Source organism: Homo sapiens, chromosome 3 (assembly GCF_000001405.40).
Source record: "Homo sapiens chromosome 3, GRCh38.p14 Primary Assembly".
In the NCBI taxonomy this organism is placed as follows: domain Eukaryota; kingdom Metazoa; phylum Chordata; class Mammalia; order Primates; family Hominidae; genus Homo; species Homo sapiens.
The window spans coordinates 42,652,931-42,673,468 of NC_000003.12; the positions used below are offsets into that span (position 1 = coordinate 42,652,931).

Sequence of the window (20,538 nt, forward strand, 5' to 3'; positions counted from 1 at the left end):
AGAAGGCAGCCCTCAGCGGGCTAGCTGGTCAGAAGCATGTAAGCTGCTCTGGCCTGGCCTTAACCTGGGGCCTCTGGGAGCTGGGCCAGCTGTCTGTGCACCCATGCAGGTACAGGATGTCTGCAGCAGCTGCCAGGGGCTTCCAGATGCCCCAGGTTTGGCCCCTGAGACATTTTCTCCCTAGCTCTGGGATAGCCTTATCCTGAGGCCCTACGTATTCTGGCAGAGAGTGGGGGTGGGGGAGGAGGCCCTTGCAATCTTACAGGACAGACCATCAGGCTGTTTCACAGCACCTGCCTAATACCCTGGTCTCTCCTCCATTTCTCCTCTGGCACCTAGAACCAAGTCACCCTGAGCCAGCGCCAGAGTTCCTGCCCACTCGTGAGTAGGACAACATACCCAGGAGATACTGCTGCAGCTGGACATGGACTTGTATGTAAACACAAGCGCACATATGTGGGGAGGGGTGTGGAATATCAGGATGGGGGCAACATGAGAGTGACCCAGGATGGGCAGTAGTGAGCTTGGGGTAGGAGGAGGGGATGTCCACAGAGGCCTCTCCTCTACAATGGTGGCCCAGTCACCATCCAGACCTTGCCAGGTCTAGTGCCCCGTGGTCCCCACCCTGCTGCCTGCTCAGCCTGGCAGCCTTCCTTTACAGCCTCCTGCCAACAGAGCCAGCCCCCTGCCCCCACGGGTGTCCATGCCAGAGCAGCATTCCGCAAGCCTGGCTGCATCTCCCCAGCAGAGGCTGAGCAAGGGGGCCACTCAGCAGTGGTCAGGTCACACGGCTAGAGGGGCACAGTGGGGCCTGGGCCTCTGGTCCCTACTCCTCTGGTCCCTCTGTCTCCTGGCCCTGGGCCAGTCACCTTAGATGATTTGATCGCTGCGGTTGTAGTCCTGGGATTTAAATCTCCTGCCCTGGGTGGCCCTATGCAGCATGAGGCCGCCAGGTAGGTATGGGTCCACTGGAGCCAAGTCCTGGAGGCACAGAGCAAAATGAGCCCTGCGCCGCCCTGGGATAGGGATGGGGGACTGGACCAGTTGGGGACCCCAGACTCACCCCCAGGTCAGAGCAGCCCAGGCGAGAGGGTGGGGGTGGTGAGCGCGGCTGGGGTGCGGGGTTCAGTCCCTCAGCGTGGGATCCCTCAGGGGAGCGGGTGGAAGCCTTTTCTGTTCGGATCCGGGGCCCGGCGCGCTCAGCTTCCTGATTTCACGGCAGCTTCCTATCCTGGCTCCCCCTCCGTGGCGCAACCGGAGGGCAGCGATGTTTGACTCCCGGACGAACTTCCCGGCAGAAAGGAGGCTCAGCACGGGAGGGTGGGGCCGGGGTCTATCTGCTCGGATATGAGCAGTGGGGACGGGCTGGGGGCTGGAGCTGGGGCTGGGGGTGGAGGGCAGCCTGCGGCAGGGCGGGCTGCACGGGGACCGCGCACACCACGCGTGTCCGCGCCCCCCGCCGGCACGCAGGCGGCCTGGCCCTTTAAGCGTCCAGACGGCGGCCCCAGCTGACGCGCGGGCTCCAATCGGCGCCCCGCGCCCCCCGCCCGCCGCGCCCGAGGCTCTGGGGCCGCAGCTGCTTGGCGCTGGACTCGCCGCGGCCCTGCGCCTCCGCCTGCCTGGCCGCGCCCCCGGGGGCCATGGTCGCGGGGCCCTGCGCGGGGGCGGCCCCCAGCGCGGCGCTTCATGGAGCGGCCCTGGCCTGGCCGCCGGGGGCAGCGCGATCCCGCGGGGCCCTGTGAGCCCCCAGCGCCACGGCACCATGGTACGCAGGGCCCTGCCTGTCCCCCCGCTTATCCGCCCACCTGCCAGCTCTGACCTCCCAGGCACACGGCCCGCGGGCCCGGGTGGAGGGGCTGGAGGGATCTTCCCCCCTCCCCCGGTCTCCCGGCTCCATCTGCTGGGTCCCGCGGGCCGGGAATGCGGCGCTGTGGCGCTGCTCTCGGTGGGGAGGGGGTTAAATTCCTGTGGTGGGGGCGCCGGCGCGCGAGGCTGAGGTCTTGCTAGGCACCGGCGAAGGGGGGCGCTCCCCTGCGCCCGGACGGCGCCGCCCTCGGGCTGGGTAATGGGGGGAAGAGGGAGTCGGATTCCCGCCTGGGCCTTGGGCCACGTGGGCGCTGGAGCCGCCCTGCCTGGGGATTCGGGATGACCCGGGCCAAGGGGGTGTGGGAGGACACCCAGAGCTCCCGTACCAACTCCTGTGTGACCTTGGGCAGATCCCCCGCCCTCTCTGGGTCTATTTCCAAGGGAAAGAGGGGAGGTAAGTGCACAGAGGAGGCTGGCATGGACACTCCCTCACCAAAAGGAGGAGCCTAGAGGTCATGAGCCTGTGCCCCCTTGCTCAGTCTGGGCCCCCCCACTGCTGCCCAGCATAGAAAGAATTGACATGGGAGGGGGGCGCAGATGGACTCCCCAGGTTTCATCATGGGGCCTTCCAGGGAGGCTCTGAGGCAGGGTAGAGAGATGAGGCTTCTCATCAGTGAGGCAAGGTACCCCTCAGGTGTAGAAGGCTCTGACTTGGGTGAGCAGCCTGGAGAGATGTCTGGCACCTGGCCAATCCCCAGCCTGACTTGGGGCAAGGGTTTGAGGGCATGAAACCCCCTGGCAACCAGAGTGCCTGACCACCTCCCTGGTCCTGCATCTTAGCTAGGCTGGAGTGACCTGGACTGCAGCTGGCACAGCCGGATGGGGAGGGGCACGCATTGCTTCCGGGAACCAGCACATCTGGCTGTGGAGGCCAGCACAGCTGGTGGGCATTGTGTGGGAGGGGCCAGACATGGGGGTGGCTGAACCCTGCTGAGGGGCTGCCAATTGTGGACTCGGGCAGCATCTCTGTGCCCAGTCAAGAGAGTCCAATCAGGTCATGAGGTTTAGGGCCCCCCAAGGGCCAAGGATGGTGCTGCCTTGGCTGAGAGTACTACCTTAGCAATGGAGTGTTTGAGAAAGCACTCCCCTCCTTTCCTGCTGAGAGGCCAGAGGGCCAAAGTCAGGCCTCATTTGGCCTAGAGGCCAAAGTGCACATGGGAAGGTTGCCCTTTCCCTGTGGCAGGTGGGCACAGGTGGGCAGTGGAGGGCATTCCATAAAGGGAGAGCAGAGAGATCTGGGGCTCTGTTGCCTGGGGTGGACTTCCCCCAACAGGCCTGGCTTCAGCAAACCCTTATCCAAGCCACTTCTCCTGCCAGTCTTTGGCCCCTGGAGGCCCTAAGGAGCCCCTGTTGCAACCCAAGTTGTACCCTGATCCTTCACTGACCTGCAGGTGCAGTGGCTCTAGGGAGGAGGGAGCAGGTAGAGGGGATAGTGGTGAGTGTGGGGAAGCACGGCTGGTCTCCAGGTGGCGGGATGTTCTCGCTTTTTAAGTCATTAAAGGCTCAGAAATCCAGCCATGTGGGGTCTAGCAAGGAAGGGGTGGTCTTAGCGGAGCTGGGAGTCCAGGGGCTCTGGACTGTGGAACCCTCTCATTCTGAGCCTCGGTTTCTCCATCTGTGTAGTAGGGGTTGGTCCCAGAAGATGAATCAGAATGAGTCAGAGGAGGGAGATGGGAGGGGCTTGGTGCCACGTCCCAGTTAGATTGGCCAGGCCTGGACAGCCTGGGACAGAGGGAGATGGATGGCTTCTTGGCTGGGGTAAGGGGTGTAGTGGAGAACTCAAGGAAGATGGTAGCCTTGGCCAGGGGCCTGGCCAGACTGGGATGTGAGGGAACACAGGATGGCTGCTGCCCTGGCTGCTGGGTGTAGGGGGCAGGGTCCAGGGCAGGCCTGGAGACAGGTGGCCCCTGGTGGCTCAGGGAGGCTCCTGCTGAGGCCCACGGTAGGTTTCTCATTCAGGTGACTGAGAAGTGGAGCTCAACCACCACCACCCCTGCCCAATCCCAGCCTACCCACTGCTCTCCTGGCGATGGAAGGCCTGGCATGGGGAAGGGGGGCGGTAGGCTGTGGATGGATGGGGCCAGGATTCATCCCAGGGTCCCCAGGGAGGCACTGACAGCTATGGAGCTGATGGTTTTGTGGCCATCAAAATATTGTGGCAAGGTACCTCCCGAATGCAGGAGGCTCAGACCTGGTTGGGCAGGCCCTGAGGAGAGCCAGAACTTGGAACCAGTGGTGCTGGTCCAGCTGGGCTGGTGGTTGGTGGATATTAACAACATCTGCACATCACTGTGTGATGGTTCTCGTGCAGGGACTGGGCAGGCTGCCTGTCTGTGCTGCCCACCTTTTGGGGAGGCTGCTGTGGTAGAGCCGGGGTGACTGAGTTGGCTTCTATTCCAGGCAATTCACAGGTGCTGGATGTGGCCCACAGGCCTGATAGTCTGACCCATCAGACATTGAGGGCCTCCGCTAGGGCTCTGGAAGCCCCAGATGGTGTGGCCTCTAAGGCAGGGCTTTCCCAGAGCCTGTGGACATGGACCGTACCTGACCTGGGGTCTGGGGGTCTACCGGGAAAAGGATCTGGGGCAGGCCTTGGGGGCCTCCTGCCTGCAAGCATGGTAGGCAGGTTCCACAGCTGTGTCCTTCCACCCCTGCAGAGCCCCTGAGTGAGAGAGAGCTGCTGGGGGCTAGGCCTGAGGCTGCAGGCAGGGGTTGGGGGCAGCCTGGCCCAAGCCCTGGCTGTGATGAGGAGACCTCACCAGGCAGTGCAGCAGGACCAGAGTGGGGAGAAGGTATAGGCCCTGAGCCTGGATTTCTTCACAGGTTTCAACTTCTGCAGCAGCCACATGGCTGTTGCGATGAGGGGTTCCCTCAGGTGCTACCCCTTGGATTCTGTAGCCAGAGACTGGGCAGTGAGCAGTGAGCCCGGCTTCTGTTCTTGAGGTGTTTGGGGCTGGGCAAGCTTGCTTTTATTGGTATGTGTGAGTGAATATGTGGAGAGAATCCACGGGGCTGAGGAAATGCTGAAGGAATGCCTGTGGCCCTCCTGGGGTGACCACCTGGTCCCGGTGTGCCTGCGATGGTCCTGGTTCTAGCACTGAAAGCCCTGCACCCCAGAAAATGCCCAGGTCCCTGGCAAACCTGGATGGTTGGTCACTGTGGTCTCTCTTTCATCCCCTTTCCTTCCCTTTCCCTTCCTGGGATGACTTTTCCCATTTCCCAGGAGATGACCCAGAGGCCCAGAAAGTGACAGGACCTGATCTTCAGCCTCAGAGGGTCACGAGTGGAGCCTGAGCTCTGAGGCAGCTCACTCAGGCTTGAATCCCTTCCTTGCTAGTTTCGGCTCTGTTGCTGTAAAGTGGAGCCACGAGTGATGGGCTGCCTCCTGGATGGCTGGCAATGCTGGGAGTGGTGCTGGGGGAAGGGCGGGCAGGGGCCCACTGGCCTTGACCCACTCCTGTGCCCTCTGTCCCCGCAGTTGCTGGTTGAGAAGACAACTGACTCCCCGGCGGCTGAGTTCTCGCTGGTGGAGGACGTGGCGCTGCACTTTGCCTGCTTGATGGGCCGCCTGAACGAGCAGCGCCTCTTCCAGCCTGACCTCTGCGACGTGGACTTGGTGCTGGTGCCCCAGCGCAGCGTCTTTCCGGCACACAAGGGTGTGCTAGCCGCCTACAGCCAGTTCTTCCACTCACTCTTCACCCAGAACAAGCAGCTGCAGCGTGTGGAGCTGTCCCTGGAGGCACTGGCACCTGGTGGCCTGCAGCAGATCCTCAACTTCATCTATACGTCCAAGCTGCTGGTCAACGCGGCCAACGTCCACGAGGTGCTCAGCGCCGCCTCATTGCTGCAGATGGCTGACATCGCTGCGTCCTGCCAAGAGCTGCTGGACGCCCGCTCTCTAGGCCCACCAGGTCCGGGCACTGTGGCCCTGGCCCAGCCGGCTGCCAGCTGCACTCCAGCTGCGCCGCCCTACTACTGTGACATCAAGCAGGAGGCCGACACCCCAGGCCTGCCCAAGATCTATGCCCGCGAGGGCCCTGACCCTTACTCGGTGCGTGTTGAGGACGGGGCAGGGACTGCTGGTGGCACAGTGCCTGCCACCATTGGGCCAGCCCAGCCCTTCTTTAAGGAGGAGAAGGAGGGTGGTGTCGAGGAGGCCGGTGGGCCCCCAGCCAGCTTGTGCAAGCTGGAGGGTGGAGAAGAGTTGGAGGAAGAGCTTGGGGGTTCTGGCACCTACAGCCGCAGGGAGCAATCCCAGATCATCGTGGAGGTGAACCTCAACAACCAGACACTGCACGTGTCCACGGGGCCAGAGGGGAAGCCAGGTGCCGGGCCAAGCCCAGCCACCGTGGTTCTGGGCCGGGAGGACGGGCTGCAGAGACACTCGGACGAGGAGGAGGAGGACGACGAGGAGGAGGAGGAGGAAGAAGAGGAAGAGGAAGGTGGTGGCAGTGGACGGGAGGAGGAGGAGGAGGAAGAGGGTGGCAGTCAGGGAGAAGAGGAAGAAGAGGAGGAGGACGGGCACAGTGAGCAGGAAGAGGAAGAGGAGGAGGAAGAGGAGGAAGGGCCTAGTGAGCAGGATCAAGAGAGCTCTGAGGAGGAGGAGGGGGAGGAGGGGGAGGCTGGGGGCAAGCAGGGGCCACGGGGAAGCCGAAGCAGCCGGGCAGACCCCCCTCCCCACAGTCACATGGCCACACGGTCCCGGGAGAACGCCCGGCGCCGGGGTACCCCTGAACCTGAAGAAGCTGGGCGGCGGGGTGGGAAGAGGCCAAAGCCACCCCCTGGAGTGGCCTCTGCATCGGCCCGAGGGCCGCCAGCCACTGATGGGCTGGGGGCCAAGGTGAAGCTGGAGGAGAAGCAGCACCATCCATGCCAGAAGTGCCCACGAGTTTTCAACAACCGCTGGTACCTGGAGAAACACATGAATGTGACCCACAGCCGCATGCAGATCTGCGACCAGTGCGGCAAGCGCTTCCTGCTGGAGAGCGAGCTGCTGCTGCACAGGCAGACAGACTGCGAGCGCAACATCCAGGTGGGCCTCACGTGGCTGGGGGCAGGGCAGAGGCTGTCCAGGTGGGGCTAGGCCATAACTGGGCTCTGGGCACCTAGTGTCTTGCTGACTGCATTACCTAGGTGGTCTGCGGAGACCAGACTTAGCCCCCAGACAGGCTGGCCCAGGCCCAGTTCTCAGGGTGGTTAGAGCTCAGGGGTAACATCAAGCCGAGCTTCCTGGGAGAGGTGGATAGAGTTGGGCGCATGAAGAGATGTGCAGAGGATTGGAACAAACAGTACCCTTGGCCAGAGGGACAAAGGGGACACATGGACTTGGGAGGATGAGAGTGGAGAGTTGTCTGAGCAGACAAGGCCAGAAGACAGGCCACTCTGGGTGGGATGAGTCAGACGGGGTTTTAACAAACACGGGGGCTGTAGGAAGGCCAGCAGGGCCACTGTGTATAGTTTCACAGGTTGTGCACTGCAGCAAGTGAGCACACGATGGGAGGAGGGGTTTGCCCAGAGGGATGCCATCCTCCACTTCCCACAAAAGTGCTGTATGGAGGAGGGGGCAGCCCAGCAGGAGGCAGCCCCCACTTTCAGCTCTTTGGGGATGCCAGCTCCCATGGGCCTGGGAAAAAGGGATTGGGTGAGAAATTTGGGAAGAGCAGAGGCTGCTGGGGTAAGCAGGGGAGCTGAGCTGGCTGCTGGGCCTTGAGCCAGCCTGAGTCTGTTTGTGCCAGCCTCACTTCTCAGGGTGGGGTGGCACAGGGCCAGCCAGGCTCCCACGGGTGGTTTTCACCTCTTCTGGCCCAGGAGAAGGGGGAAAGGTAGCAGGTAGGTGGGTGCTAATTGCCTGCGCTAATTGCTAATTGCAGTGCCCTGTGGAGAAAGTGTTACCCGGGGGTCACCTGCTATCCTGCCCCACCCTTGTGTACCTGTGCCCACTTGCCCGCCTGCTGGGCTGCCCTTTGATGCTCTAACTGCTGCGCACCTGAGTCTCCCTCCTGAAGGAAAAAGAAGCTTCTGCCCCATCCAACCTGAGTACCCTGACCAATTTCTGCCCAAGCCTTGGCCTAGCCTCCATCCCTGTGGGGTGTCCTGCATAGATGGGCAGGACAAGGGTCCAGGAGAACAAATGGGGGGATATGGTCCCCAAGATCCCCCACCACTCTCTGTGCCTGATGGGACCTTGAGCCTCCTGCTGTCCTCCTCAGCCAACGCCTCTGGGACTCATCCTCTTGGCGATATTCATGGTGTCATGGCACAGGTCCCAGCAGGAGGAGGCAGCAGTGATAATGGCTCACTCTGTGGGACCTGTTATCTCTGCGTGTAGCCTCCATACCAGAGGGCGCCCTTCAGCTAGTTGTCTGCCTTACCTCTATAGACAGACAAAGGGTGATGCCTTTGGAAGCCCTTGTTGAAATGAGCCCAGAGTGGGGAATTTCCTGGAAGAGGTGACCCCTGACCCTAGTTAACTCAAGGATGAAGGAGGACACCAGGCTGTGTGTTTGGGGGTGTTTAAGGAGTTTTCATCCCCAACCTTAGAAACATCAGAGCTGGCTGGCTGTTGGCATCAAGGGCTCTCCAGCATATTTCAAGTGGGAAAACTGAGGCCAGACGGGGGCAGTAGCTTGCCCAAGTCCAAGACCCTGGGGACTCAGGACCCAGGGCCTCAAGTCCTCTTATTCTGCAGTGTGTGACATGTGGCAAAGCTTTCAAGAAGCTTTGGTCCCTCCATGAGCATAACAAGATTGTGCACGGCTACGCAGAGAAGAAGTTCTCATGCGAGATCTGTGAGAAGAAGTTCTACACCATGGCCCACGTGCGTAAGCACATGGTTGGTAAGTCTGGGCCACTGGGGGATGGAGCCAGAGGATAGAGATGGACCAGCTTCTGGCTGGTGGATGGGAAAGACTTCACATCCAAGGGCAATGTGAAGGGGTGAGGAGGCCCCTCTCAGCTAGGAGGCCTGGGGAGGTTGGTTCCAGTGGCAGGTGTAGCCTGGACAGGCTCTGGGGCCAGGGCTGGCATGTACAGTTGGGCAGGCTGCACATTGCACAAGGGTGCCTGGACAAGATGGCAGGTGGGAACCGGAATCAAGCTGGCACACTGCTAACCAGGCTGTGCATCCTGGCACGGGCTCGTGTCCACCCAGGGAAAAGAATACCTTTTCCTAATTATACAAAGTGCTGTATGGGCTGGTACAGGCCCTGTGTCAGTTTGATGACAGCTGTGCCTCTGATTCTTTCTTACCTTCTGGTCCTCATAGGGCTTCAGGCCTCTCTGAATGCAGCCTCCCCTCAGGGTTCATGCCTGGACACAGTAAGGAGGTCCCCCAATTGTGTGTTTTGGCCACGCCACTGCCCCAGGCAAGGCTGCCCACCTGCTGTATGTGGGCCTGGCAGAGCCTCATGTCCCTACAGCCCTGCCTTCCTTGCCCGCTCCAAGTCTGGGCCTTGAGGGGGAGGGGTAGCCAAGGCAGACAGTGAGCCCCTGGCCAGGTCCTAATCCCTTTCTCCATGAGACAGTGCTGGGGGCCCTCCAGCATGAACTGACTGGAAGCTGGGACCCTGCGGCCTAGGTCTCAGCCAGGAGCATGCTGGGTAAACCAGGACTGGTGTCTGTGAGCTTGAAGGTGAGCCTTCTGTCTCCAGTGGCCACCTACCAGATCCTTGAAGAGTTTGTTAGTCCTCACCCATCCGTGGGTGCTGGGAGGAGTGCAGCTAACTTCCTCCAGACTGCTGGCTAGGGCCTGAGACCAGGGCCTTTCTGCATATGTCCCCTCTAAAGCCCACCACCCCTGAAGCTCAGGACCACTATGAGTCCCTTTTTATAGGAGAGGAAGCGGAGGTCCAGAGAGACTGAGTGGGAAGCCAGTGGTCGGGCCGGGATTTGAGCTGAAGCCAGGTCCACCCAGGGTCCTTCCATCCTTCCCTGAAGCTTTGGGGGCAAGGCAGCCTTGGCCACTTCCCTTGACCAGAGGCTAAAGAACCACAGAGCCCCAGCATGTCTGAGGCAGACCTTCAGAGCAGATAGGAGACCCAGCCATGGAGGCAGGGGGCCTCTCCTGGGAATCAGCACAGGTCCTGGGACAGAGTATAAGGCCAGCCCCAGAGAAGGGTGGTGGCACAGGGCTGCCCCAGGAGGCAGGGTCTGGGCCCAACGTCGGGGTGCTTGGGCAGGCCCGTAAAACATGATGGCCCTGGTGCCCACCTCGTAGCCCACACCAAGGACATGCCCTTCACCTGCGAGACCTGCGGAAAGTCCTTCAAGCGCAGCATGTCCCTCAAGGTGCACTCACTGCAGCACTCAGGGGAGAAGCCGTTCAGATGTGAGGTGAGCTTCCATCTCCTGCCTGGCCTGCCCGAGGGGTCACCTGGGAGGGGCAGGAATCAGGGAGCGCAGCTGCTGAAAAACAAAGGGCTAGGGGGTGGAATGTAGTGTCCAGAAAGAGAGAGCCCTGCCCTCTGAGGTCTGCAGCCCCTGCCTCCCACTCCCACCCAGCCCCTACTCTTCTCTGGCCCACTCCCATCCTGCCCTTCCTTCCCCAACCCAGCCCCACACACTCAGGGTGGGAAGTGTGTGTGGGCTACAGCCCTAGGAGCAGGCTTTCTGGGGAGGCAGATTCAGGAGCATCCCAGGCCTGGAGCTCAGATGAGACAACAGAGCTGCAGGTGGGGAGGTGGGGGCAGGGGCTGGGCGTCTGATCAGGAGGAAGGATGAGGGACCTCGTGCCTTAAGCATGGGGCTCCCTCTACTCTCTGGCTTTTTCCCACTTCCGACCCCCATTCCCCACCTAAGCCTTGGGTGCTTGTGGCCTCTCCTCTTGTGCCCATGTACTGCCCACCCAGATGCACCTCGGCTTGCCCTCATGTCCCCATCTCCTTGCCCAGGAGCCCCTGAGTGTGTCCCTCCTTGGCCCTGTGGCCACAGGGGAGCTGTTCCCTCCACAAAGGCTGCTCTTCTGCTCTGTGCCTGGGCCTCACCCCCAAACCCCACCCCCAGAACTGCAATGAGCGCTTCCAGTACAAGTACCAGCTGCGGTCACACATGAGCATCCACATTGGCCACAAGCAGTTCATGTGCCAATGGTGCGGCAAGGACTTCAACATGAAGCAGTACTTCGATGAGCACATGAAGACCCACACAGGTGCGGCTGCCCCTGGGGACGGAGCTCGGTGCCGGGCCTGGGACCCCTTCTCAGCCCCGCTCAGGACACCTGGAATAATCTTGGCCACACCCCTTCTCAAGTCTGGGCCTCCGTTTACCCATGCTTCCTGCCTCCCAGGGTTGGGTGAGGCTGGCACAAAATGCCCCAGGGTCGGGGAGGATCTGAGAGCGCCGGGGCTGGGCCCCACTATGGCTCCATGGGAGACGGAGGCTGGCCCCAGACTGGGGTGTGGCGACCCCTCACTGACGCCCTGCTGCCCACCCCCAACCCCCAGGAGAGAAGCCGTACATCTGCGAGATCTGTGGCAAGAGCTTCACCAGCCGGCCCAACATGAAGCGGCACCGGCGCACGCACACGGGCGAGAAGCCGTACCCGTGCGACGTGTGTGGCCAGCGCTTCCGCTTCTCCAACATGCTCAAGGCCCACAAGGAGAAGTGCTTCCGCGTCAGCCACACCCTGGCCGGCGACGGCGTCCCCGCTGCCCCAGGCCTGCCCCCAACCCAGCCCCAGGCGCACGCACTGCCCCTGCTCCCGGGGCTGCCCCAGACCCTGCCGCCCCCGCCCCACCTGCCGCCCCCGCCTCCGCTCTTCCCCACCACTGCCAGCCCCGGCGGGAGGATGAACGCCAACAACTAGCTGCCGAGCTGCACCCGTGCACCCGCTGGGGCCTGGAGTCAGGGCCCACTCCAGGAGGGACCCACTGCCTTCCCGGGGAGCACAGTAGTGCGGGCCTGGGCCCTGCTCCACCTCCAGAAGTGGCTGGATGTACCCTGCCTGAGGCCCCGACGAGGAGGGGTATGCAGGCTGGCAGGCCCCAGAGCTGGTGGAGGGCATCTCACTCCCAAGTGCCCCCCCTTTCTGTGACTCCTTGAAGCCTTTACTTTTTTTTTTTTTTGGAAGTGAAGGAAAAAGAAACTATTTACAGCACTCCCCTCCAGGTGAGGGGGGTGCTGGGGGTCTGCAGCAGAAAGAAAGGGGCCTGGGCAGCAGGTGTGGCCAGTCCCTCTGCCAAGGCCTGTGCCAGAGGGGTTGGCCAGTTGGAGCCTGGGTCAGCCTCAGCAGCCTATCCCCATGTCCTCTATGCCCCTAATTTGCTTCCTCATCTTGGAGGGTTTGGGGAGAAGTTGGCGTGCCACCCCCACAACCCCTGAGGAGGTGTAGACCCAGTCTGAGAGCCGCAAGCACTGAGGCAGGGCCTGAGACTGGACCTGGGTGAGCGTGGGGGGTGGAGGGTGGCGAGGTGCGGAGACTGCAGACCAGTGCTTCACTGTGTGGAGTGGGGCAGGCAGGGGCTGGACCCCAGGGACTTGCCTTCCCCACCCACTCTGCTGCCAGCAGGCCCAGGGATCCCTGACCTGCACCAGGTGGCACCAAGGGTCCTGAGTCCTGGAGATGTCCCCAGAAGCTGCTGTGCCTCACAGCGCTGTGAGCCAGACCCTCCTTGGGCAGACAGGCTGACTGGCAGCACCAGCTTTGGGGGCAGAGTCCTAGGATGAGGCTTGGGCAGTGCTGGTAGGGTTTCAAGGTGCTATTAGTGGGGCAGGGGCAGGGCGGCTGCTCACAGAGCACCCCAGTTCCTCACCAGCTACTCTGGCCATATATCCCACACCAGAAGGAACAAGTGTGGCTGTGTCCATCTCTGCTCCCCCAAAGGCCCGCTCTAGGCCTTATCCTCCCTCTAGGTCCTGCCACAACCTGTCCCTGGCTGGCTCCAGCGTCCTCGTCCCTCCTGGGCCTGTGCACCGGTGGGTGGGGCGCCCATAGCACTGCCGGTAAAGGAGCCTGCATGTTCAGGCCCCTCGGGGGATTGGGGGGACTGGGGAGGCGCAGCCTAGACCCAATTGCTTGCCCCCATGAGGCTAGCACTAATAGGAAACCCTTTTTTGTTGTCATTTAATGTCTTTATTCCTGCCTTTAATATGGGGAGGAAGGTTCCATAAGCTACATGTTTCCTAGTTAAGCTCTTTCCTATTGTGTTTATACAGTTTTGTTTGTTATACTCTTTGCACCTTAAACCCCCACCACTCCCCGACACTATTGCCTTCCCAGCATGGCTGGAGTGGGAAGAGGCTTGGGCCCCGGGGGAATGGTTAGGGGGACTGAACCCCTCTGACCTTATGAGGCCCATGGCACTGGGGCAGGGAGCTGGGGACATTTTAATCATCAATAAACGAAGCACTTTATTCTGTACAGATTTGGGCAGGCCCAAGGTGCCCGAGTGATCTGAGGATTTATAATCCAAGCCACACCACCCTGGTTGTTCTCTGGGCTTGGAGGGTACAGTGCCAGCAGCTTCCTTGCCCAATTGATGTTGGAGCTGTAGACGTACGCTCAGGCGCTCCTGCTGTCCTGGGGGAGAGAAGGTTCGCCCCTCCCCGAGGAAGAAGGCTTCTGGTCAGGACCCCCACCCCAAGGCTGGGGACTCCAGGCTCCTGCTTTACTGTAGCTCTTTTTCTTCCTTGCACTCCTTGATCTTTGGGCTTCCGTGATGTCCTCAGGGTCCCCCCCTCCCTGTTGCTATTTTTAATCTCTAGTCCCAGTGCCTGGCAGCTCTTTGGAGCTGGCTCACATTTTCCCAAAAAAAGTTGATCTCTCCCAGTGGGCTGTAGGCAGGGTCCTCCATGGGTTTCCAACCCCCATCACTGGCACCAGGATCTCCCACAGGCACTGGTGGTGTCATCACCTGCTGGCCCCACTACAGCCTGAGTAGGCCTGAGTGGCCGTGGCCAGGCTGAGACCTGTCAGGCCATACTGACAAGCAGAGGTCAGAGACACTGGTGGGGAGCTGGCAATGAAACCCTGTCCTGGGACATGGGTTTCATGTTCTTGTACACTTCCCCTCTGGGATCAGGTGAGGGGTCCAGACAGCTGACCAGACAGCTTGACAGCTGGTCAAGACGGTCACGGGAGCTCTAGGTGGGCACAACCAACCCCTCTCCTGGGAGGCCCCTGCCCCACTGGGGATAGGAGCCTGTGTCCCTGGTGCTAAGCACTCTCTTCACTTGGGCCATTGTTGGTGGGGGCTCCTTTCCGGCCAGACCACAAGGCCAGAAGCAATAATGGCACCTCAGCAGTTCCAGTATGGATAGGGGTTCCTGTTTTACTAGCTTTTACATCTTTTTATTTAAAACAAAACAACACAAAAAAACAATGTGCCCCCAGATGTCAGAATGAGGCGACTAGGGCACCATACTCACTTTCCAGGGCTGGGGGAAGGGGGACGCAGGATCATCCCCTCCCAAGGAGATCTGTGGGGGTCCCACCGTCCATCTGGACTTCTCAGCCTGTTTGGCTAGAACTCAGGCCTGGAGTCTGGGTCTGCCCCCTCCCCGGCTCCTTGGGGCTCTCTGGTCTCAGGCCAGCTGGCGATGGGTGGCTAGAGTGATGAACTCAAGCCCTGTGGCCACAGTTCTGGGAGCCTTCAACCCTGGCTCATGCTGCCATAGTCTCCACGGTGCCCTTCACAGAGGGCTTGGTAGTGGCAGAATGGCCATGCCCAGGTGTGTGTTGAGACCATTGACAACTGCTCGTGTACAGGCACCCCACAGCCCCAGAGCATGGGGCACAGCAGGCATGCGAGTGAGAGGATGAAGGGGAATAAAGTCAGTACAACTCGTGTCCCTTGGCCCAGCCTCTTCTTTGCACTTGGCCTGCCTTGACTCTTGGACCAGAGCAAGGGGCTGGGCTTTGGGGACCACCCAGAGTCAGGAGATGAGGCAAGGGCAGCGGTGGGGGATGGGGGATGGGCAAATAGGTGGGTCTTGGGTCAGATGCAGAGGGGCATGAAAGAGGAGAAGTCCTGAAGGCAATGGCCACAAGAGGCCAGGGCCTGTGCAGGTGTGGTTTCCCATGAGCACCAGGCATGGAGCCACAGTAGCTCTGGGACAGCAGGGACCGGTGCTCCCACTTATGTGCTGAGCCCTGGGGATGCTGTGATGAGCAGTATGGACTCATTCCTCCCTCGGCAGGCAGGGGAGGTCAGAAGGGGCCAGATAACAGAGATGCTGACTCAGGCACCCGGGAAGACAAAAGCTCAGATGGAAGACAGGTGGTAGCCTCCAGAGGAGCAGATGGCTCTCCCTGGGGAACTCAGAATTGTTTCATGGCACAAGTAGTATATACAGAGAGCACTCACTCCATGCCAAATGGAATTCTAGGCCCCGGGGACACGTGCAGAATGAGCCTCCTTGTGGCACTTAACTCTGTATATGTAGAAAAGGGTCAGACAGGACTGGGAGGGACTGGGAGAGAAGTCTCATGGGTGGATTTGTTGACTGGCCAGAAAGGAGGTGCAGGTTCCTAGGATGTTGGCACTGCCTTTCTGCACAGTCCTGCTATGAATGGAAGAAACACAGGCTTGCTCAAGAGACCCTGAAACAAGGCTGGCTGACAGGCCTGGGGGCCTGGCTGCTCCCCCAACTCTTGTGCAGATTCCACTCATCTCTGTGTTTCCACTCTGTTGACCTCCTCCTATATCAGGTTGCATGACACCTCTTTTTCCTCCAGCCCTCCCCCCACCTCCCTCATTCTCACAGCATTTCCACCTTCACACTCCAGAGTCTTGGACACTGTCATCCTAGGCTCTGGGGCAGAGGCCTCTGGGTGGCTGTGGGATGGTGGGCACCACGATTGGTGTCTCTGGAGCACTCACTTTCCCTGATCTTGCTCTTTGGGACCAAGCAGCTCACTAACATCTCATGTCCTGAAGCATGCATAGGTCAGAGCAGCACTGCCTTGCTGGGGAAGGCCGGACTTTCCTTCTTTCTAAAGGATCAATGAGGGGAGGTGAGGCACCCTGGCTTAGTGGTGCTTTTGGGCCTACCTACCCCCTGATTATGTAGCTTTCTAGAACCAGGACTGGTGAATAAGTCAGGTTAGGCTGAGTTCTGCTGCAGTAACAAACCACCTCCTAACCTCAGTGACTCAACATCTGTGGCTCTGAGGGGATGTTCCAGGGCAGTCATTCTCTATTTGGTGGCCCAGAATTCCAGGCTTTGACCTTGGGGCACCTCCATATCAACATGGGCCTCTAGACTGAACAGAGCCAGGGAAAAGACAGGTTGGAGAATCACACCTTGGCTCTTCAGTGCTGCCATCCAGAAGTGGTGTATCACTGCTGTTTCTGTGTCATCATCCAAAGCAAGTTCTGGCATCATGCCTTACTTCAGGGGGGTGTGGACACGCAACCCTCCTGTGTGGCCGGAAGGAGAGGAGAGCTGGAAAGATCGTTGAGTAGCTGCCAGGCACGGTGGCTCACGCCTGTAATCCCAGCACTTTGGGAGGCTGAGGCGAGCAGATCACTCAAAGTCAGGAGTTCAAGACCTTCCTGGCCAACATGGTGAAACCCCATCTCTAATGAAAAAAAAAAATTAGCCAGGCATGGTGGCATGCATCTGTAATCCCAGCTACTCAGGAGGCTGAGGCAAAAGGATCATTACGATCATTAGAACCTGGGAGGCGGAGGTTGCAGTGAGCCGAGATCACGCCACTGCACTCCAGCCTAGGTGACAGAGCAAGATTCTGTCTCAAAGAAAAAAAAAAGATAGGTGAGTAGCCATATCCTTTCCTACACTTGGGCCTTGCAGTCTCCAGAGGTCAGGTTGAGAGGTATCCAGCCTGTAGAGCTGCTTTCTAAAGTCTCTGGAGGGTCAGCAATAAAATAGAGGAGCACTGCCTCCTAAGGTTCCACTGGCTGCAGATGGGATGAACCTCCTGCCACCACAGATGACAGCCTTGGGACCTGTGGAGAATGGAGAAGAGAATGGGATCCCACACAGGGAAGGAAAAGCAGCTCCAAAGGACCCCACCTTGAACTTCCCCATCACTCCCGCCTCTCTCCAGCTAGAGATAGGGCTTCTGGAAACCCCTGTGGCCAAAACTATGCCTGTGTACCTGGGAAGCTGTGGCCTAAGACTATAACTCTCATGTGTTGGGGACACTTTGTGGTCACTCTTCACCATAACCTTCTGAGACTGCTGATAACCTAAGCAAAGGAGCTCAGAGAGGTAAAGCCACTTGCACACAGCCAGAAAGTGGTGGAGCCAGATGCGAACCCAAGTCTGTCCGATCCCAAAGCCACGTTCTCTAAGCTCTGAACAATGCCACGTCCCCTTCATTCAGCACAGTACTTGGTACACAGTGGCATTCAGGAGAGCATGGCAGTGGGTGGTGAACCAGGGCTATTGGTTGCAAACAGAAGAACCAATTAAATCTCTAGGAGAACCAGAGACTCAGCCTTTGGGGTTATGCAGCCAAAAACAAACCCAAACCACCCTGCACCACTTGCCCTAGGGGAGGCGTGACTGTCATCCCAGCTTGGAACTAACAATGCTGAAGGCTACTCATAAGAAGCTCTGTCTCGACTGCCCCTCCCACCAAAACTAAACCCCTCTCTGCCCCACCCTCAGAGAACACAAGTCTGCAGTATATTTCATTGCTTTCCTCTTACCTGAATCAGTCTTATGTGGGTGTGTCTAAGTGTCAGATCTGTCACGTTTATGCCCTAGTGATGCAGGACAGGCGAGTCTCAAAATTGGGGCTTAGCCTGGGAGAGTTCTTGGCTTCACCTAGGAAAGAATTCAAGGGTGAGCCGGAGGTGTTAGCGACTTTTAGTGAAGCAGCAGCAGAGGTACTGGTACTGTGGAACAGCGCTACCCTATAGGCAGTGTTCCCAGAATAGCAGCTCCGAGGCAGGACTGCAGTCATACTTATACCCACTTTGACTTACATGCAAATTAAGGGGGGATTATGCAGAAATTTCTAGGAAAAGGTTGGTATCTTCCATAGAAAGGGGCAGTAACTTTCAGGTGTTGCCATGGCAATGGTAAACTGACATGGCACACTTGTGGGCATGTCTTATGCAAAGCTGCTGCTTCCACTCCATCCCTGTTTCAGCTAGTCCTCATTAGGTCTGGTGTCCAAGCCCCGCCTCCAGAGTTGAGTCCAACCTCCTACTTCACTAGCTGCAAGGGAGGCTGGGGAAGCAAGTTGTGTTTTCTATGTTGGGTAGGTGGAATGCCCTATGTACTTCATTCCCAATCAGAAAAAGGCTTTGCAAACATGCTGGGTGGCCACAAAGTATAACAAACATGCCCCACAATCTAGCCCTTCACAGCCCAACAACAGCATACACCCTCTTCCATACAACAGGAACAACAAAATGCTATTGATTAACAACCTTCCTCATAATAAATAAAAACGTATTCATCCTCTTCCCAAAAGGGGACACTGTAATTTCTCATCACTGACTGCATCTGGCTCCAAATCCAGGATCTGCTGGTAATTGCCGCTCCTTTCCTGTGATCCCATTTGGTGTTCTGAAATGTGGGGACTGTATTGTTAAATGGAACCATCAGCAACCAGGCTCTTTATAAAACAGAAGGAGACTATGAGGGGAAAAAATTAATATATATACATACATCTTTTCCAGTGTGATGGTTAGTTTTAGGTGTACTCTTAACTGAATGAAGGGACACCGAGATAGCTGGTAAGGGCATGATTTTTGGGTGTGTCTGTGAGGGTGTTTTGGGAAGAGATCACCATTTGAATCAGTAGACTGAGTAAAGATGATCCCCCCTCATCCAATATAAGTGGACACCATCCAGTCTATTGAGGGCCTGGATGGAACAAAAAGGCAGAAGAAAAGTGAATTCACTCTCTCTTCTGGAGCCAGGACATCCATCATCTCCTGCCCTCAGACATCAGAACTCCAGGTTCCCCTGCGTTTCGCCTTGGACTGGGAGTTACATCATCACCTCCTCTTGATCTCAGGCCTTCAGATTCAAACTGAATTACATCACCAGCTTTCCTGGGTCTCCAACCTGCAGAGGACAGATTGTGGAACTTTTCGGCCTCCATAATCACATGAGCCAATGCCCATAATACACCCCCTCTTATATCTCTTTATTCTATTGATTCTGTTTCTCTGCAGAGCCCTGACTTATTAATATACACATCAAGGAAGACAAAACAGGAAGATGTTCCATCCTACTTAGCCACAGGTCATGAGGTCAAGATGGTGCTATTGTCTGAATGCTGGTGTCCCCCCACCAAACCCCAAATTCACCTGTTGGAACCTAAAACACGATGCCACAGTATAAAGAGGTGAGGTTTTTGGGGGAGTGATTAAGTCAGGAAGCTCTGCCTCATGAGTGGGATTACTGGCCCTTATAGAAGAGGTTGAAGGGAGCTACCTGTCCTTTCACCTTGCAAAGACACTGAATTGGCTCCTTCTGCCATATGCGGACAATAGAAGGTGCCATCTATGAAGAAGACAAAACTCTCACCAGATACTGAATCTCCTGGTGCCTTGATCTTGGACTCTCAGCTTTCAGAACTGTGAACAATAAATTTCTATTGTTTATAAACTACCCAGTTAAAGGTATTTTGTTATAGCAGCCTGAGCAGACTAAGACAGAAATTGGTACTTAGTGGGGATGTTGCTATAACGAATAGTTTAAAATGTGAAAGCAGCTTTGGAGCTGGGAAGAGTTGAGTTTGGAGGAACAGGTTAGGAAAAAACCCTATATTGTCATGAATGGACCATGAAGGCTATTCTGGTGAGGGCTCAGAAGAGAACTGTAAAGAAAGCCTCAGTTTTCTCAGAGATTACCTAAGTAGTCATAATCAGAATGTTCACAGACATGTGTATGGTAAAGGCCATTCTGATGAGGTCTCAGATGGAAATGAGGAACATGTTATTAGAAACTGGAGGAAAGGCTATCCTTGTCATAAAGTGGCAAAGAACTTGGCTGAATCGTGTTTGTTTCCTAGTGTTTTGTGGAAGGAGGAACTTATGAGTGATGACATAAGATATTTAGCAGAAGAAATCTCTAAACAAAGTGTTGAGCATGTGGCATGGCTTCTCTTGACTGCTTACAGCAAAATACAAGAAGAGAGAAATGAATTAAAGATAGATTTTATAATCAAAAGTGAAGCAGAACTTAGATTTAGAAAATTATCAGCCTGGCCATGTTGTAAAGAATGAAACAGTGGGTCTGAGAAAGAACACCAAGGGTGTGCCCAAGCAACAGTTTGATAAGGAGAGTAACATGGATTAGTGGAAGCCTATTTGTCAAGGGGACAATGGAGGAATGACCCTGAAGGCATTTTGGAGATCATCAGGGCTGCCTTTCTTCTTATAACAGGCCTAGAGTGCCAAGGCCTGGAGGGCAGAACTGTGTCAGAAGAGGGGCCTTGGGTGCCTAAGGGACCTCATCCCTCACTGCCCTGTGCCAACCCAGACCTCTGCTCCCTGAGGCTGGTATAGCACTCCTCAGCTGTCCAAGATGAAGCTCCAGTGGGCCCAGGTGTGATGTATGCCATAGTGGCTGTCTCTCCAGAGGTCACAGGTGGTAAACCTTGGTAGCATCTGTGAGGTGCCATCTCCACCAGGAAGCACAGTACACAGGCTCTGGAGGCATGGTTTCCTCCACCTGGATTTCAAAGGATGCCCCAAAGAGCCTCAGAGCCACCACAGAGAGCCCCCACTAGGGCACTGGCCAGTG

General features: G+C 57.7%; 1 protein-coding gene and 2 long non-coding RNA genes across 6 annotated transcripts in view, besides 9 other annotated features; 1 reads left to right on the forward strand and 2 right to left on the reverse strand.

The window, feature by feature from the left end:
* Positions 1-1,458, reverse strand: part of ZBTB47-AS1 (ZBTB47 and NKTR antisense RNA 1) — a 42,079-nt gene extending 40,621 nt beyond the window's left edge. Inside the window, exon 1 of the long non-coding RNA NR_125400.1 lies at positions 1,064-1,458. This is a non-coding gene — a long non-coding RNA (ZBTB47 and NKTR antisense RNA 1). The remainder of the gene's footprint in view (positions 1-1,063) is intronic.
* ZBTB47 (zinc finger and BTB domain containing 47) lies at positions 1-14,650 on the forward strand. Of its 3 annotated transcripts, XM_047449234.1 has the most exons (7): positions 1-109; positions 340-432; positions 5,345-6,898; positions 8,555-8,702; positions 10,082-10,197; positions 10,867-11,011; positions 11,307-14,650. In XM_047449234.1, exons 1-7 carry the CDS (start codon positions 104-106, stop codon positions 11,666-11,668), a joined length of 2,424 nt encoding a protein of 807 aa, XP_047305190.1. In that variant the 5' UTR covers positions 1-103; the 3' UTR covers positions 11,669-14,650. The 3 variants fall into 3 exon arrangements, with proteins under 3 accessions (XP_047305190.1, NP_660149.2, NP_001397675.1); NM_145166.4 differs by lacking the exons at positions 1-109; positions 340-432 and adding an exon at positions 767-953; NM_001410746.1 differs by lacking the exons at positions 1-109; positions 340-432 and adding an exon at positions 1,575-1,765.
* Positions 741-1,382: an enhancer, noted in NCBI's record as "H3K27ac-H3K4me1 hESC enhancer chr3:42695163-42695804 (GRCh37/hg19 assembly coordinates)". NCBI's record gives its function as "activates a minimal SCP1, AML or CMV promoter by ChIP-STARR-seq in naive H9 embryonic stem cells {active_cell/tissue: H9 hESC(naive)}" and the evidence as "EXISTENCE:reporter gene assay evidence [ECO:0000049][PMID:30033119]".
* Positions 1,388-1,747: a silencer, noted in NCBI's record as "silent region_14247". NCBI's record gives its function as "represses an Ori minimal core promoter by ATAC-STARR-seq in GM12878 lymphoblastoid cells {active_cell/tissue: GM12878}" and the evidence as "EXISTENCE:reporter gene assay evidence [ECO:0000049][PMID:35858748]".
* Positions 1,788-1,867: a silencer, noted in NCBI's record as "silent region_14248". NCBI's record gives its function as "represses an Ori minimal core promoter by ATAC-STARR-seq in GM12878 lymphoblastoid cells {active_cell/tissue: GM12878}" and the evidence as "EXISTENCE:reporter gene assay evidence [ECO:0000049][PMID:35858748]".
* Positions 3,447-3,741: an enhancer, noted in NCBI's record as "tiled region #3469; HepG2 Activating DNase matched - State 12:CtcfO, and K562 Activating non-DNase unmatched - State 12:CtcfO". NCBI's record gives its function as "activates a minimal TATA promoter and a strong SV40 promoter by Sharpr-MPRA in HepG2 and K562 cells {active_cell/tissue: HepG2 | K562}" and the evidence as "EXISTENCE:reporter gene assay evidence [ECO:0000049][PMID:27701403]".
* Positions 6,403-7,313: an enhancer, noted in NCBI's record as "H3K4me1 hESC enhancer chr3:42700825-42701735 (GRCh37/hg19 assembly coordinates)". NCBI's record gives its function as "activates a minimal SCP1, AML or CMV promoter by ChIP-STARR-seq in primed H9 embryonic stem cells {active_cell/tissue: H9 hESC(primed)}" and the evidence as "EXISTENCE:reporter gene assay evidence [ECO:0000049][PMID:30033119]".
* Positions 7,314-8,223: an enhancer, noted in NCBI's record as "H3K4me1 hESC enhancer chr3:42701736-42702645 (GRCh37/hg19 assembly coordinates)". NCBI's record gives its function as "activates a minimal SCP1, AML or CMV promoter by ChIP-STARR-seq in primed H9 embryonic stem cells {active_cell/tissue: H9 hESC(primed)}" and the evidence as "EXISTENCE:reporter gene assay evidence [ECO:0000049][PMID:30033119]".
* Positions 11,185-11,234: an enhancer, noted in NCBI's record as "active region_19749". NCBI's record gives its function as "activates an Ori minimal core promoter by ATAC-STARR-seq in GM12878 lymphoblastoid cells {active_cell/tissue: GM12878}" and the evidence as "EXISTENCE:reporter gene assay evidence [ECO:0000049][PMID:35858748]".
* Positions 12,080-12,580: an enhancer, noted in NCBI's record as "H3K4me1 hESC enhancer chr3:42706502-42707002 (GRCh37/hg19 assembly coordinates)". NCBI's record gives its function as "activates a minimal SCP1, AML or CMV promoter by ChIP-STARR-seq in naive H9 embryonic stem cells {active_cell/tissue: H9 hESC(naive)}" and the evidence as "EXISTENCE:reporter gene assay evidence [ECO:0000049][PMID:30033119]".
* The window catches only part of LOC124906232 (uncharacterized), a 17,685-nt gene continuing 10,333 nt past the window's right edge, over positions 13,187-20,538 (reverse strand). The window contains exons 2-3 of one of the 2 annotated variants that reach the window (XR_007095893.1): positions 17,481-17,598; positions 13,187-16,772 (exon numbers count right to left, since the gene is read on the reverse strand). This is a non-coding gene — a long non-coding RNA (uncharacterized LOC124906232). The remainder of the gene's footprint in view (positions 16,773-17,480; positions 17,599-20,538) is intronic. The other variant, XR_007095892.1, reaches the window with a different exon arrangement.
* Positions 14,140-14,676: an enhancer, noted in NCBI's record as "H3K4me1 hESC enhancer chr3:42708562-42709098 (GRCh37/hg19 assembly coordinates)". NCBI's record gives its function as "activates a minimal SCP1, AML or CMV promoter by ChIP-STARR-seq in naive H9 embryonic stem cells {active_cell/tissue: H9 hESC(naive)}" and the evidence as "EXISTENCE:reporter gene assay evidence [ECO:0000049][PMID:30033119]".

Excerpts from the sequence above, each read along its gene's own strand:
- ZBTB47 (XM_047449234.1), top strand. Across the intron at positions 10,198-10,866 it reads AGAAGCCGTTCAGATGTGAG|AACTGCAATGAGCGCTTCCA; the intron begins GTGAGCTTCCAT and ends CCCCACCCCCAG. Across the intron at positions 11,012-11,306 it reads GCACATGAAGACCCACACAG|GAGAGAAGCCGTACATCTGC; the intron begins GTGCGGCTGCCC and ends CCCAACCCCCAG.